Source organism: Homo sapiens, chromosome X (assembly GCF_000001405.40).
Source record: "Homo sapiens chromosome X, GRCh38.p14 Primary Assembly".
Classification (NCBI taxonomy): domain Eukaryota; kingdom Metazoa; phylum Chordata; class Mammalia; order Primates; family Hominidae; genus Homo; species Homo sapiens.
In genome coordinates, this window is record NC_000023.11 from 62,664,540 (window position 1) to 62,678,928 (window position 14,389).

At 35.8% G+C, this 14,389-nt stretch overlaps 1 annotated feature.

Annotated features, from left to right (window-relative positions):
* Window positions 3,523-4,024: an enhancer, noted in NCBI's record as "OCT4 hESC enhancer chrX:61887532-61888033 (GRCh37/hg19 assembly coordinates)". NCBI's record gives its function as "activates a minimal SCP1, AML or CMV promoter by ChIP-STARR-seq in primed H9 embryonic stem cells {active_cell/tissue: H9 hESC(primed)}" and the evidence as "EXISTENCE:reporter gene assay evidence [ECO:0000049][PMID:30033119]".

The following is a 14,389-nucleotide window of genomic DNA, read 5'->3' on the forward strand; positions in this document are numbered from 1 at the left end:
AAAGGAAATATCTTCACATAAAAACTAGAAAGAAGCATTCTGAGAAACTTTTTTGTGATGTGTGCATTCAACTCACAGAGTTGAAACTTTTTCTTTGGATTCAGCAGTTTTGAAACACTCTTTTCATAGAATCTGCAAGTGGATATTTGGAGAGCTTTGGGGCTTATACTGGAAAAGGAAATATCTTCACATAAAAAGTAGACAGAAGCATTATGAGAAACTTCTTTGTGATGTGTGCATTTGACACAGAATTGAACATTTCTTTTGAGCATTTTGGAAACTATTTTTGTTGTACCTGCAAATGGATATTTGGTGTGCTTAGAGGACTCTGGTGGAAAATTAAATATCTTCAAATAAAAACTAAACGGAAGCATTCTGAGAAACTTCTTTGTGATGTTTGCATTCAACTCATATAGTTGAACCTTTCCTTTGAGCATTTTTGAAACACTGTTTTTGGAGAATCTGCAATTGGATATTTGGACCGCTTTGAGGACTATAATGGAAGTGGATATATCTTCAAATAAAAACTACTCAGAAGCATTCTGAGCAACTACTTTGAGAGGTGTGCATTCATCCCTCCAGGTTGAAACTTTCTTTTGATTGAGCAGATTTAAAACACTGTTTTTGTAGTATATTCCAGTGGATATTTGGAGGGCTTTGAAGCCTATAGTGGAATAGGAAATATCTTCACATACAAACTAGACAGAAGCATTCTGAGAAACTTCTTTCTGATGTGTGCATTCATGTCAGAGAGTTGAAATGTTCCTTTGATTGAGCATTTTGGAAAAAGTCTTTTTATAGTATCTGCAAATGGATATTTTGTGTGCTTTGAGGCCAATAGTGGAAAATTAAATATCTTCATATAAAAAGTATACAGAAGCATTCTGTGAAACTTCTTTGTGATGTGTACATTCATGTCACAGAGTTGAACCTTTCTTTCGATTTAGCAGTTTTGAAACATTCTTTTTGTAGAATCTGCAAGTGGATATTTGGAGCGATTTGCGACCCATAGTGGAAAAGGAAATATCTTCACATAATAATTAGACAGAAGCATTCAGAGAAACTTGTTTGTGATGTGTGCATTCGTCTCACAGTGTTGAAACTTTCTTTTGATTGAGCAGTTTTGAAACACTCTTTTTGTAGAATCTGCAAAAGGATATTTGGAACACTTTGAGGTCTGGGGTGGAAAAGGTAATATCTTCACATAAAAACTAGACAGAAGAATTCTGAGAAACTTCCTTGTGATGTGTTCATTCAACTCACAGAGTTTAAACTTTCTTTTGATTGAGCATTTTGGAAACAGTCTTTTTGTAGTATCTGCAAACGGATATTTGGAGCGCTTTGAGACCTATGGTGGAAAAGGAAATATCTTCACCTAAAAACGAGACAGAATTATTCTGGGAAACAACTTTGTGATGTGTGCATTCATCTCAACGAGTTGAACATTTCTTTTGATTGAGCAGTTTGGAAACAGTCTTTTTGTAGTATCTGCAAATGGATATTTGGAGCGATATGAGGCCTACAGTGGAACAGGAAATATGTTCATATAAAAACTAGACAGAAGCATTCTGAGAAACATCCTTATGATGTGTGCATTCGTCTCACAGAGCTGAAAGTTTCTTTTGATTGAGCAATTGTGAAACACTGTTTTTGTAGAATCTGCAAGCGGATACTTGGAGCGCTTCATGCCCTATAGTGCAAAAGGAAATATCTTCACATAAAAACTGGACAGAAGTATTCAGAGGAACTTCTTTGTAATGTGTGCATTCATCTAATAGAGTTGAACCTTTCTTTTGATTGAGCAGTTTTGAGACACTCTTACAGTAGAATCTGCAATTGGATATTTGGAGCGATTTGAGGCCTATGGTGGAAAAGGAAATATCATCACATAAAAACTAGACAGAACCATTCTGAGAAACTTCTTTGTGATGTGTGCATTCAATGCAAAGAGTTGAACCTTTCTTTTTATTGAGCAGTTTGGAACCAGTCTTTTTGTAGTATCTGAAAATGGATAGTATGAGTGCTTAGAGGCCTACGATGGAAAAGGAAATATCTTCACAAAAAAACTTGAGTGAAGCATTCTGAGAAACTTCTGTGCAATGTGTGCATTCATCTCACAGAGATGAACCTTTCTTTTGATTGAGCATTTTGGAAATAGTCTTTTTGTAGTATCGGCAAATGGATATTTTTAGCGCTTTAAGGCCTATGGTGGAAAAGAAATATCTTCACATAAAAACTAGACAGAAGAATTTTGAGAAACTTCTTTATGATGTGTTCATTCAACTCATGGAGTTTAAACTTTCTTTTGATTGAGCATTTTGGAAACAGTCTTTTTGTAGTATCTCCAAATGGATATTTGGAGTGCTTTGAGCCATATGGTGGGAAAGATATATCTTCACATAAAAACGAGACAGAATTATTCTGGGAAACAACTTTGTGATGTGTGCATTCATCTCACCGAGATGAACATTTCTTATGATTGAGCAGTTTGGAAACAGTCATTTTGTAGTATCTGCAAATGGATATTTGGAGCAATATGAGGCCTGCAGTGGAAAAGGAAATATGTTCATATAAAAACTAGACAGAAGCATTCTGAGAAACATCCTTATGGTGTGTGCACTCGTCTCACAGAGCTGAAAGTTTCTTTTGATTGAGCAATTGTGAAACACTGTTTTTGTAGAATCTGCAAGTGGATACTTGGAGCGCTTCACGCCCTATAGTGCAAAAGGAAATATCTTCACATAAAAACTGGACAGAAGCATTCAGAGGAACTTCTTTGTGATGTGTGCATTCATCTAACAGAGTTGAACCTTTCTTTTGATTGAGCAATTTTGAGACACTCTTATTGTAGAATCTGCAAGTGGATATTTGGAGTGATTTGAGGCCTATGGTGGAAAAGGAAATATCTTCACATAAAAAATTGACAGAGGCATTCTGAGAAACTTCTTTCTGATGCGTGCATTCATCTCACAGAGTTGGATCTGTCTTTTGATTGAGCACTTGTAAAACACTCCTTTTGTACAATCTGCAAGTGTATATTTGGAGTGCTTTGAGGCCTATGGTGGAAAAGGAAATGTCTTCACATAAAACCTAGACAGAAGAATTCTGAGAGTCTTCTTTGTGATGTGTGCACTCAACTCACAGAGTTGAATCTTTCTTTGGATTGAACAGTTTGGAAACAGTCTTTTTGTAGTATCTGCAAATGGGTATTTGGAGTGCTTTGAAGTCTATGGTGGAAAAGGAAATATCTTCAGATAAAAAGTAGACAGAAACATTCTGAGCAATTTCTTCCTGATGTGTGCATTCATCTTACAGTTGAACCTTTTCTTTGAGGAGTTTTGAGACACTCTTTTTGTAGAATCTACAAGTGGAAAATTTGAGCGCTTTGTGGATTATAGTGGAAAAGGAAATATCTTCACATAAAAACTAAACAGAAGCATTATGAGAAACTTCTTTGTGATGTGTGCATTCACCTCACAGAGTTGAAACCTTTTGATCGGGCAGTTTTGAAACACTCTTTTTGTACAATCTGCAAGTGGATATTTGCAGCGATTGGCGGCCTTTATTGGAAAAGAAAATATCTTCACATAAAAACTGGAGAGAAGCATTCAGAGAAACTTCTTGGTGATGTGTGCATTCATCTTACATAGTTGAAGCTTTCTTTTGATTGAGCAGTTTGGAAACAGTCTTTCTGTAGTATCTGCAAATGGATATTTAGAGTGCTTTGAGGCCTATGGTGGAAAAGGAAATATCTTCACATTAAAACTAGACAGAAGCATTCTGAGAAACTTCTTTGTGATTTTTGCATTCAACTCACAGAGTTGAAACTTTCTTTTGATGGAGGATTTTAGAAACAGTCTTTTTGTACTATCTGCAAATGTTTATATGGAGCACTTTGAGGCCTATGTTGGAATGGAAATATTTTCAAATAAAAACCATATAGAAGCATTCTGAGAAACTTCTTTGTGATGTGTGCATTTCTCTCACTGAGGTGAACCTTCCTTTTGATAGAGCAGCTTTGAAACACTCTTTTTGTATAATCTGCAAGTGGATACTTTGAGCACTTTGCAGCCTATAGTGGAAATGGAAATGTCTTCACATAAAAACTAGACAGAAGCATTCTGAGAAACTTCTTTCTGATGTGTGCATTCATCTCACACAGTTGAATCTTTCTTTGATTGAGCAGTTTTGAAACACTCTTTTTTGTAGAAACTGCAAAAGGATATTTGGAGGGCTTTGAGGCCTATGGTGGAAAAGGAAATATCTTCACATAAAATCTATACAGAAGCATTCTGAGAAACTTCCTTGTGCTGTGTGCATTCAACACACAGAGTTGAACCTTTCTTTGGATGGAGCAGTTTGGAAACTGTCTTTTTGTAGTATCTGCAAATGGATATTTGTAGCGCTTTAAGTCCTATGGTAGAAAAGGAAATATCTTCACATACAAACTAGACAGAAACATTCTGAGAAACTTGTTTGTAATTATGTGCCTTCATATCACAGAGTTGAAATTTTCTCTTGATTGAGCAGTTTTCAAACACTCTGTTTGTAGAATGTGCAAGTGGATATTTGCAGCGCTTTGTGCCTATGATCGAAAAAAGAAATATCTTCACATAAAAACTAGACAGAAGCATTTGAGAATCTCCTTTGTGATGTGTGCATTCATCCGAAAGAGTTGAAACTTTTTTTGATTGAGCAGTGTTGAAACAATATTTTTGTAATATCTGTGAGTGGATATTTGGAGGTCTTTGTGGCCTAAGGTGGAAAAGTAAATATCTTCATATAAAAACTATACAGAAGCATTCTGAGAAACCTCTTTATGTTGTGTGCATTCATCTCACAGAGCTGAACCTTTCTTTTCATTGAGCAGTTTTGAAATACAGTTTTCATAGAATCCACAAGTGAATATTTAGAGAGCTTTGTGGCCTATAGTGGAAAAGGAAGTATCTTCACATAAAAACTAGACAAAAGCATTCTGAAAAACTTCTTTGTGATGTCTGCATTCATCTCATGGAGTTGAACGTTTCTTTTGATTGAGCAGTTTTGAAAAACTCTTTTTGTAGAATCTACTAGTATATATTTGGAGGGTTTGAGGCTTATAGTGGAATAGGAAATATGTTTACATAAAAACTTTACAGAAGCATTCTGAGAAACTAGTTTGTGATGTGTGCATTCATCTCACAATTTTGGAACTTTCCTTTGATTGTGCAGTTTGGAAACAACAGTCATTTTGTAGTATCTGCAAATGGATATCTGGTGTGCCTTGAGGCCTATGGTGGAAAAGGAAATATCTTCACATAAAAGCTAGACAGAAGCATTCTGAGAAACTTCTTTGTGATCTGTGCATTCATCTCACAGAGTTGAACTTTTCTTTTGATTGAGCGGTTTGGAAAAAAGTCTTTTTGTAGGATCTGCAAGTGGATATTTGGACTGCTTTGTGGCTTATGGTGGAAAAGGAAATATCTTCACATAAGAAATAGAAGCATTGTCAGAAACTTCTTTTGATGTGTGCATTCATCTCACACAGTTGAAACTTTATTTTGATTGAGCAGTTTTGAAACACTCTTTCTGTAGAATTTTCAATTTTATATTTGGAGTACTTTGAGGCCTATGGTGGAAAAGGAAATACCTTCACATAAAAACTAGACAGAAGCATTCTGAGAAACTTCTTTGTGATGTGTACATGCAACTCACGTAGTTTAACCTTTCTTTTGATTGAGCAGTTTGGAAACAGTCTTTTTGTAGTATCTGCAGATGGACATTTGGAGTGCTTTGAGGACTGTGGTGGAAAAGGAAATGTCTTCAAATAAAAACTATACAGAAGCACTCTGAGAAACTTCTTTTTGTTGTGTGCATTCATCTCACAGTGTTGAACCTTTTTTTTCCTTGAGCAGTTTTGAAATACTCTTTTTGTAGTACCTGTAAATGGATATTTTGAGTGTTTTGTGGCCTATAGTAGAAAAGGAAATATCTTCACATAAAAACTAGACAAAAACATACTGTTTAACACCTTTGTGATGTTTGCATTCATCTCACAGAGTTGAACCATTCTTTTGATTGAGCAGTTTTGAAAGAGTCTTTTTGTAGAATCTTCAAGTGGATATTTGGAGTGCTTTGAGGCCTAGAGTGGAAAAGGAAATATCTTCACTTAAAAACTAGACAGAAGCATTCTGAGTAACTTCTTTTTGTTGTGTTTATTGAACTCACATAGTTGAACCTTTATTTTGATTGAGCAGTTTGGAAACAGTCTTTTTTAGTATCTGCAAATGAATATTTAGAGTTCTTTGAAGCCTATTGTGGAAAAGGAAATATCTTCACATAAAAACTAGAAGGAAGCATTCTGAGGAAATTCTTTGTGATGTGTGCATTCATCTCACATAGTTGAAACTTTGTTTTGATTGAGCAGTTTTGAAACACTCTTTTTGTAGAATCTGCAAGTGGATATTTGGAGCGCTTTGAGGCTTCTGGTAGAAAAGGAAATATCTTCACATAAAAACTAGACCAAAGCAGTCTGAGAAACTTCTTTGTGATGTGTGCATTCAACTCACAGAGATGAAATTTTCTTTTGATTGAGGAGTTTAGAAACAGTCCTTTTGTAGTATCTGCAAAAGGATATTCGGAGCGTTTTGACTCTTATGGTGGAAAAGGATATATCTTCACATAAAAACCAGACAGAAGCATTCTGAGAAACTTCTTTGTGATGTGTGCATTCATCTCACAGAGTTGAACCTATCTTTTCTTTGAGCAGTTTTAAAACACTATTTTTAAAGAATCTGCAAGTGGACATTTGGAGCGCTTTGAGGCCTATGGTGGAAAAGGAAATATCTTCACATAGAAACTAGACAGAAGCATTCTCAGACACTTCTTTGTGATGTGTGCATTCAATTCACTGAGTTGAACCATTCTTTTGATTGAGCAGTTTGGAAACAGTCTTTTTGTAGTATCTGCAAATGGATATTTGGAGCACTTTCAGGTCTATAGTGGAAAAGGAAATATCTTTACACAAAATTAGACAGTAGCATTCTGAGAAACTTATTTGTGATGTGTGCATTCATCTCATTGAGTTGAACCTTTCTTTTGATAGACCAGTTTTGAAACACTCTTTTTGTAGAATCTACAATTGGATATTTGGAGCGATTTGAGGCCTATGGTGGAAAAGGAAATATCTTCACATAAAAACTAGACAGAAGCATTCTGAGAAACTCCTTTGTGATTCATGCATTCATCTCACAGAGTTGAACCTTTCTTTTGATTGAGCAGTTTGCAAACACTCTTTTTGTAGAATCTGCAAAGGGATATTTGAGGTGCTTTAAGGCCTATGTTGAAAAAGGGAATATCTTCACATGAAAACTAGATGGAAGCTTTCTGAGAAACTTCTTTGTTGTGTTGGCATTCATCTCACAGAGTTAAACCTTTCTTTGATTGAGCAGCTTGGAAATAGTGTTTTTCTGGAATCTGCAATGGCATATTTGAGGGCTCATTGAGGTCTTTGGTGAAAAAGGAAATACCTTCACATATAAACTAGATAGAAGCTTTCTGAGAAACTTCTTTGTTATGCGTGCATTTATCTCACAGAGTTCAAACTTTCTTTTGATTGAGCAGTTTGGAAACAGTCTTTTTATGGAATCTGCAAAGGGTTGCTTGGGAACTCTTTGAAGCCTATGGTGAAAAAGAAAATATCTTCACATAAAAACTAGACAGAAGCTTTCTTAGGAACTTCTTTTTGATGTGTGCATTTATCTCGAAGATTTGAATTTTTCTTTTGATTGAGCAGTTTGGAATCTGTCTTTTTGTAGAATCTGCAAAGGGACACTTCGGGGTGCGTTGAGGCCTATGGTGGAAAAGGAAATATCTTCACATAAAAGCTAGACAGAATCTTTCAGAGGAACTTGTTTTTGATGTGTGCATTCATCTCACAGAGTTGAAACTTTCTTTTGATTGAGCAGTTTGGAAACAGTCTTTTTGCAGAATCTGCAAAGGGATATTTCTGAGCAGTTTGAGGCCTATGGTGAAAAAGGAAATCTTTTCACATAAAAACTAAACAGAAGCTTTCTAAGAAACATCTTTGTGATGTGTGCATTCGTCTCACACATTTGAAACTTTCTTTTGATTGAGCAGATTGGAAACACTCTTTTTGTACAATCTGCAAAGGGATATTTCTGAGTGGTTTGAGGCCTATGGTGAAAATGGACATATTCATATAAAAACTACACAGAAGCTTTCTGAGAAACTTCTTTCTGTTGTGTGCATTCATCTGACAGAGTTGAAGCTTTCTTTTGATAGAGCAGTTTGGAAACAGTCTTTTGTAGAATATGCAAAGGGATATTTAGGAGCCTTTGAGGACTATGGTGAAAAAGGAGATATCTTCACATAAAAACTATACAGAAGCTTTCTCAGAAATGTCTTTGTGATGTGTGCATTCATCTCACATAGTTGAACCTTACTTTTGATTGAGCAGTTTGCATACAGTATTTTTGTGGAATCTGTAAAGGGATATTTCTGAGCGTTTTGAGGCCTATGGTGAAAAAAGAAAAATATTCACATAAAAGTAGACAGAAGATTTCTGAGAAACTTCTTTCTAATGAGTGCGTTCACCTCACAAATTTGAACCTTTCTTTTGACTGAGCAGTTTGGAAACTGTCTTTTTGTACAATCTGCAAAGAGATATTTGGTGGTGCTTTGAGGCCTATGGTGAAAAAGGAAATATCTTCCCATAAACACTAGACAGAAGCTTTCTGCAAAAAATTTTTGTGATGCATGCATGCATCTCACAGAGTTGAAACTTCCCTTTGACTGAGCAGTTTGGAAACACTCTTTCAGTATAATCTGCAAAGGGATGTTTGGGAGCCCTTTGAGGCTTATGGTGAAAAAGGAAATATCTTCATATAAAAACTATACAGAAGCTTTCTGAGAAACTTATTTGTGATGTGTGCATTCTTCTCACAGATTTGAACTTTACTTTTGATTGAACAGTTTTGAAACAGTCTTTTGGAGGATCTGCAAAGGGATAATTGGGAGCCCTTCGAGGCCTATGGTGTGAAAGGAAATATCTTCACATAAACACTACACAGAAGCTTTCTGAGGAACTACTTTTTGATGTGTGCATTCACTTCACATTGTTGAATTTCTCTTTTGATTGAGCAGTTTGGAAACAGTCTTTTTATAGAATATGCAAAAGGACACATGGGGGAGGTTTGAGGCCTATGGTGGAAAATGAAATATCTTCACATAAAAACTAGACAGAAGCTTTCTAAGAAACTTCTTTGTTATGCGTGCATTCACCTCACAGAGTTTAGACTTTCTTTTGACTGAACAGTTTGGAAACAGTCTTTTTCTAGAATATACAAAAGGATATTTGGGAACTCTTCATGGCCTATGGTGAAAAAGGGAATATCTTAACATAAGAACTAGACAGAAGCTTTCTAAGAAACTTCTTTGTGATGTGTGCTTCCAACTCACAGAGCTGAAACTTTCTTTTGATTGAGTACTTTGGAAACAGTCTTTTTGTAGAATCTGCAAAGGGATATTTCAAAGCGGTTTGAGGCCTATGGTGAAAAAGGAAATATGTCCATATAAATACTAGACAGAAGCTTTCAGAGAAACTTTTTGTGATGTGTGTATTCATCTCACAGAGTTGAACATTTCTTTTGATTGAGCAGTTTGGAAACAGTCTTTTTCTAGAATCTGCAAGGGGATATTTCCGAGCATTTTGAGGCCTATGGTGATTAAGGAAATATCGTCACATAAAAACTATACAGAAGCTTTCTGAGAAACTGCTTTGTAATGAGTGCATTCGCCTCAAAGAGTTGAACGTTTCTTTTCACTGAGCATTTTGGAAACAGTCTTTTTGCAGAATCTGCAAAGGGATATATGAGGGCGCTTTGAGGCCTGTGGTGAAAAAGGAAATATCTTCATATAATAACTAGACAGAAGCTTTCTGAGAAACTTCTTTTTGTGATGTGTGCATTCATCTCATAGAGTTGAAACTTTCTTTTGATTGAGCAGTTTGGAAGCAGTCTTTTTGTAAATTCTGCAGAGCGATATTTGTGAGCTGTTTGAGGCCTATGGTGAAAAAGGAAATATCATCACATTAAAACTAGACAGATTTCTGAGATACATTTTTGTAATGAGTGCAATCATCTCACAGAGTTGAACCTTTCTTTTGATTGAGCAGTTTAGAAACAGCCTTTTTCTAGAATCTGCAAAGGGATATCTCTGAGCAGTTAGAGGCCTATGGTGCAAAAGAAAATATGTTCACCTAAAAACTAGACAGAAGCTTTCTGAGATACTTCTTTGTGACGTGTGCTGTCATCTCACAGGGTTGAAACTATCTTTTGATTGAGCAGTTTGGAAACAGTCTTTTTGTGGAATCTGCAAAGGGATATTTGGGGGCCCTTTGAGGCCTATGGTGAAAAAAGAAATATCTTCACATAAAAACCAGACAGAGCTTTCTGAGAAACTTCTTTGTGATGCGTGCATTCATCTCACAGAGTTCAAGCTTTCTTTTGATTGAGCCGTTTGGAAGCAGACATTTTGTAGAATTTGCAAAGGGATGTTTGGGAGTCCTTTGAGGCCTATGGTGAAAAAGGAAATATCTTCATATAAAAACTAGATAGAAGCTTTCTCAGAAACTATTTTGTGATGTGTGTATTCATCTCATATGTTTGAACCTCTCTTTTGATTGAGCAGTTTGGAAACATTCTTTTTGTAGAATCTTCAAAGTGATAATTCTGAGTGTTTTGAGGCCTATGGTGAAAAAGGAAATATCTTCATATAAAAATTAGAAAGAACCTTTCTGAGAAACTTCTTTGTGATGTATGCATTCAGCTCACAGAGCTGAACCTTTGTTTTGATTGAGCAGTTTGGAAACAGTCTTTTTGTAGTATCTGCAAAGGGATATTTCTGAGCAGTTTGAGTCCTATGGTGAAAAAGGAAATATCTTCACATAAAAACTAGACAGGAGATTTCTGAGAAACTTCCTTGTGATGTGTGCATTCAACTCACAGAGTTGAAATTTTCTTTTGAATGAGCAGTTTGGGAGCAGTATTTTTGTGGAATATGCAAAGGGATATTTGGGATCCCTTTGAGGCCTATGGTGAAAAAGCGAATATCTTCCCATAAAAACTAGACAGAAGCTTATTGAGAAACTTCTTTGTGATGTGTGCATTCACCTCACAGAGCTGAACCTTACTTTTGATTGAGCAGTTTGGAAACAGTCTTTTTGTAGAATCTGCAAAGGGATATTTGAGGGTGCTTTGAGGCCTACGGTGAAAAAGAAATTATCTTCACATAAAAACTGGACAGAAGTTTTATGAGAAACTTCTTTGTGATGTGTGCATTCCTCTCACACAGTTGAAACTTTCTTTTGATTGAGCAGTTTGGGAGCAGGCTTTTTGTAAGATCTGCAAAGAGATATTTTGGAGCCCCTTGAGGCCTATGGTGAAAAAGGAAATATCTTCACCTAAAAAGCAGACAGAATATTTCTGAGAAACTTCTTTGTGATGTCTGCATTCATCTCACAGAGTTCAACCTTTCTTGGATTGGGCAGTTTGGAAACAGTCTTTTTCTAGAATCTGAAAAGGGATATTTCTGAGTGGTTTGAGGCCTACGGTGAAAAAGGAAATATGTTCACCTAAAAACTAGACAGAAGCTTTCTGAGAAACTTCTTTGTGATGTGTGCATTCATCTCACCGAGTTTAACCTTTCTTTTGATTGAGCAGTTTGAAAACAGTCTTTTTGTGGAATCTGCAAAGGGATATTTGAGGGCCCTTTGAGGCCTATGGGGAAAAGGGAAATATCTTCACATAAAAACTAGACAGAAGCCTTCTGAGAAACTTTTTTCTGATGCATCCATTCATCTCATAGAGTTCAAACTTTATTTTGATTGAGCAGTTTGGAAACAGTCCATTTGCAGAATCTGCAAAGGGATATTTGACGGCCCTTTGAGGCATATGGTGAAAAAGGAAATATCTTTACATAAAAACAACTAGACAGAAGCTTTCTGAGAAAATTCTTTGTGATGCATGCATTCATCTCACAGAGTTCAAGCTTTCTTTTGATAAAGCAGTTTGGAAACAGACTTTTTCTAGAATCTGCAAATGGATGTTTGGTAGCTCTTTGAGGACTATCATGAAAAAGGAAATATCTTCACATAAATACTAGCCAGAAGATTTCTGAGAAACTTCTTTGTGATGTGCACATTTATCTCCCAGTGTTCAAACTTTCTTTTGATTGAGCAGTTTGGAAATAGTCTTTTTCTAGAATCTTCAAGGGGATATTTCTTAGCATTTTGAGGACTACGGTGAATAAGGAAATATCTTCACATAAAAACTAGACAGAAGTTTTCCGAGAAACTTCCTTGTAATGTGTGCATTCAACTCACAGAGTTGAAATTTTCCTTTTAATGAGCAGTTTGGAAACAGTATTTTCGTAGAATCTGCAAAGGGATATTTGGGAATCCTTTGAGGCCTATGGTGAAAAGGAAATATCTTCAGATAAAAACTAGACTGAAGCTTTCTGAGAAAGTTCTTTGTGACGTGTGCACTCATCTCACAGAGATGAACCTTTCTTTTGATTGAGCAGTTTGGAAACAGTCTTTTTGGAAAATCTGCAAAGGGATATTTCTGAGCAGTTTGAGGCCTAGGGTAAAAAAGGAAATATCTTCATATAAAAACTTGACAGAAACTTTCTCAGAAACTTCTTTCAGATGTGTGCATCAATCTCACAGAGTTCAACCTTTCTTTTGATTGACTAGTTTGGAAACAGTGTTTTTGTAGATTCTGCAAATGGATATTTGGGAGCCCTCTGAGGCCTATGGTGAAAAAGGAAATATCTTCAGGTAAAAACTAGACAGACAAAAGCTGTCTCAGAAACTTCTTTGTGATGTGTGCATTCATCTCACAGAGTTGAAACTTTCCTTTCATTGAGCAATTTGGAAAAAATCTCTTCATAGAATCTGCAAAAGGATATTTCTGAGCGGTTTCAGATCTATGGTGAAAAAGGAAATACCTTCATATAAAAACTAGACAGAAACTTTCTGAGAAACTTCTTTATGATGTGTGCATTCATCTCACAGAGATGAACTTTTCCTTTGATTGAGCAGTTTGGAATCATTCTTTTTCTAGAATCTGCAAAGGGATATTTAGGAGCCCTTGGAGGCCTATTTTGAAAAAGGAAATATCTTCAAATAAAAACCAGAAAGAAATTTCCTGAGAAACTCTTTTGTGATGTGTGCATTCATCTCACAGAGTTGAAACTTTCTTTTGATTGAGCAGTTTGGGAGCAGTCTTTTTGTAGAACCTGCAAAGTGATATTTGAGGGCCCTTTTGGGTCTATGGTGAAAAAGGAAATATCTTCACACAAAAACTAGACAGAAACTTTCTGAGAAACTTCTTTGTGATGCATGAATTCATCTCATAGAGTTGAAAATTTCCTTTCATTGAGCAGTTTGGAAACAGTCTTTTTGTAGAATCTACAAAGGGATATTTGGGAGCCCTTTGAGGCCTACTGTGAAAAAGTAAATATCTTCACATAAAAACTACACAGAAGCTTTCTGAGGAACTTCTGTGTGATGTGTGCATTCATCTCACAGAGCTGAACTTTTCCTTTGATTGAGCAGTTTGGAAACAGTCTTTTTCTAGAATTTGCAAAGGGATATTTGGGAGCCCTTTGAGGTCTATGGTAAAGATGAAACATCTTCACATAAAAACTAGAAAAAGAAGCTTTATGAGAAATTTCTTTGTGATGCATGCATTCATCTCACAGAGTTGACATTTCTTTTGATTGAGCAGTTTGGAAACAGTATTTTTCTAGAATCTGCAAAGGAATATTTCTGAACTTTTTTAGGCCTATGTTGAAAAAACAAATTTCTTCACATGAAAGTAGACAGAAGGTTTCTCAGAAACTTTTTTGTGATGTGTGCATTCATCTGACAGAGTTGAACTTTTCTTTTGATTGAGAAGTTTGGAAACAGTCTTTTTGTAAAATCTGCAAAGGGATATTTGGGATCCGTTTGAGGCCTATGGTGAAAAAGGAAATATCATCACATAAAAACTAGACAGAAGTTTCTGAGAAACTTCTTTGTGATGCATGCATTCATCTCAGAGAGTTGAACCTTTCTTTTGATTGAGCAGTTTGGAAACATTCTTTTTGTAGATTCTGCAAAGTGATATTTGTGATAGATTCTGCAAAATGATATTTGTGATCCCTTTTATTCCCATTGAGAAAAAGGAGATATCTTCACATAAAAACTAGACAGAAGCCTTCTGAGAAACTTCTTTGTGATGCATTCATCTCACAGAGTCGAACCTTTGTTTTGATTGAGAAGTTTGGAAAAAGTCTTTTTGTAGAATCTGCAAAGGGACATTTGTGAGAGCTTTGAGGCCTGTGG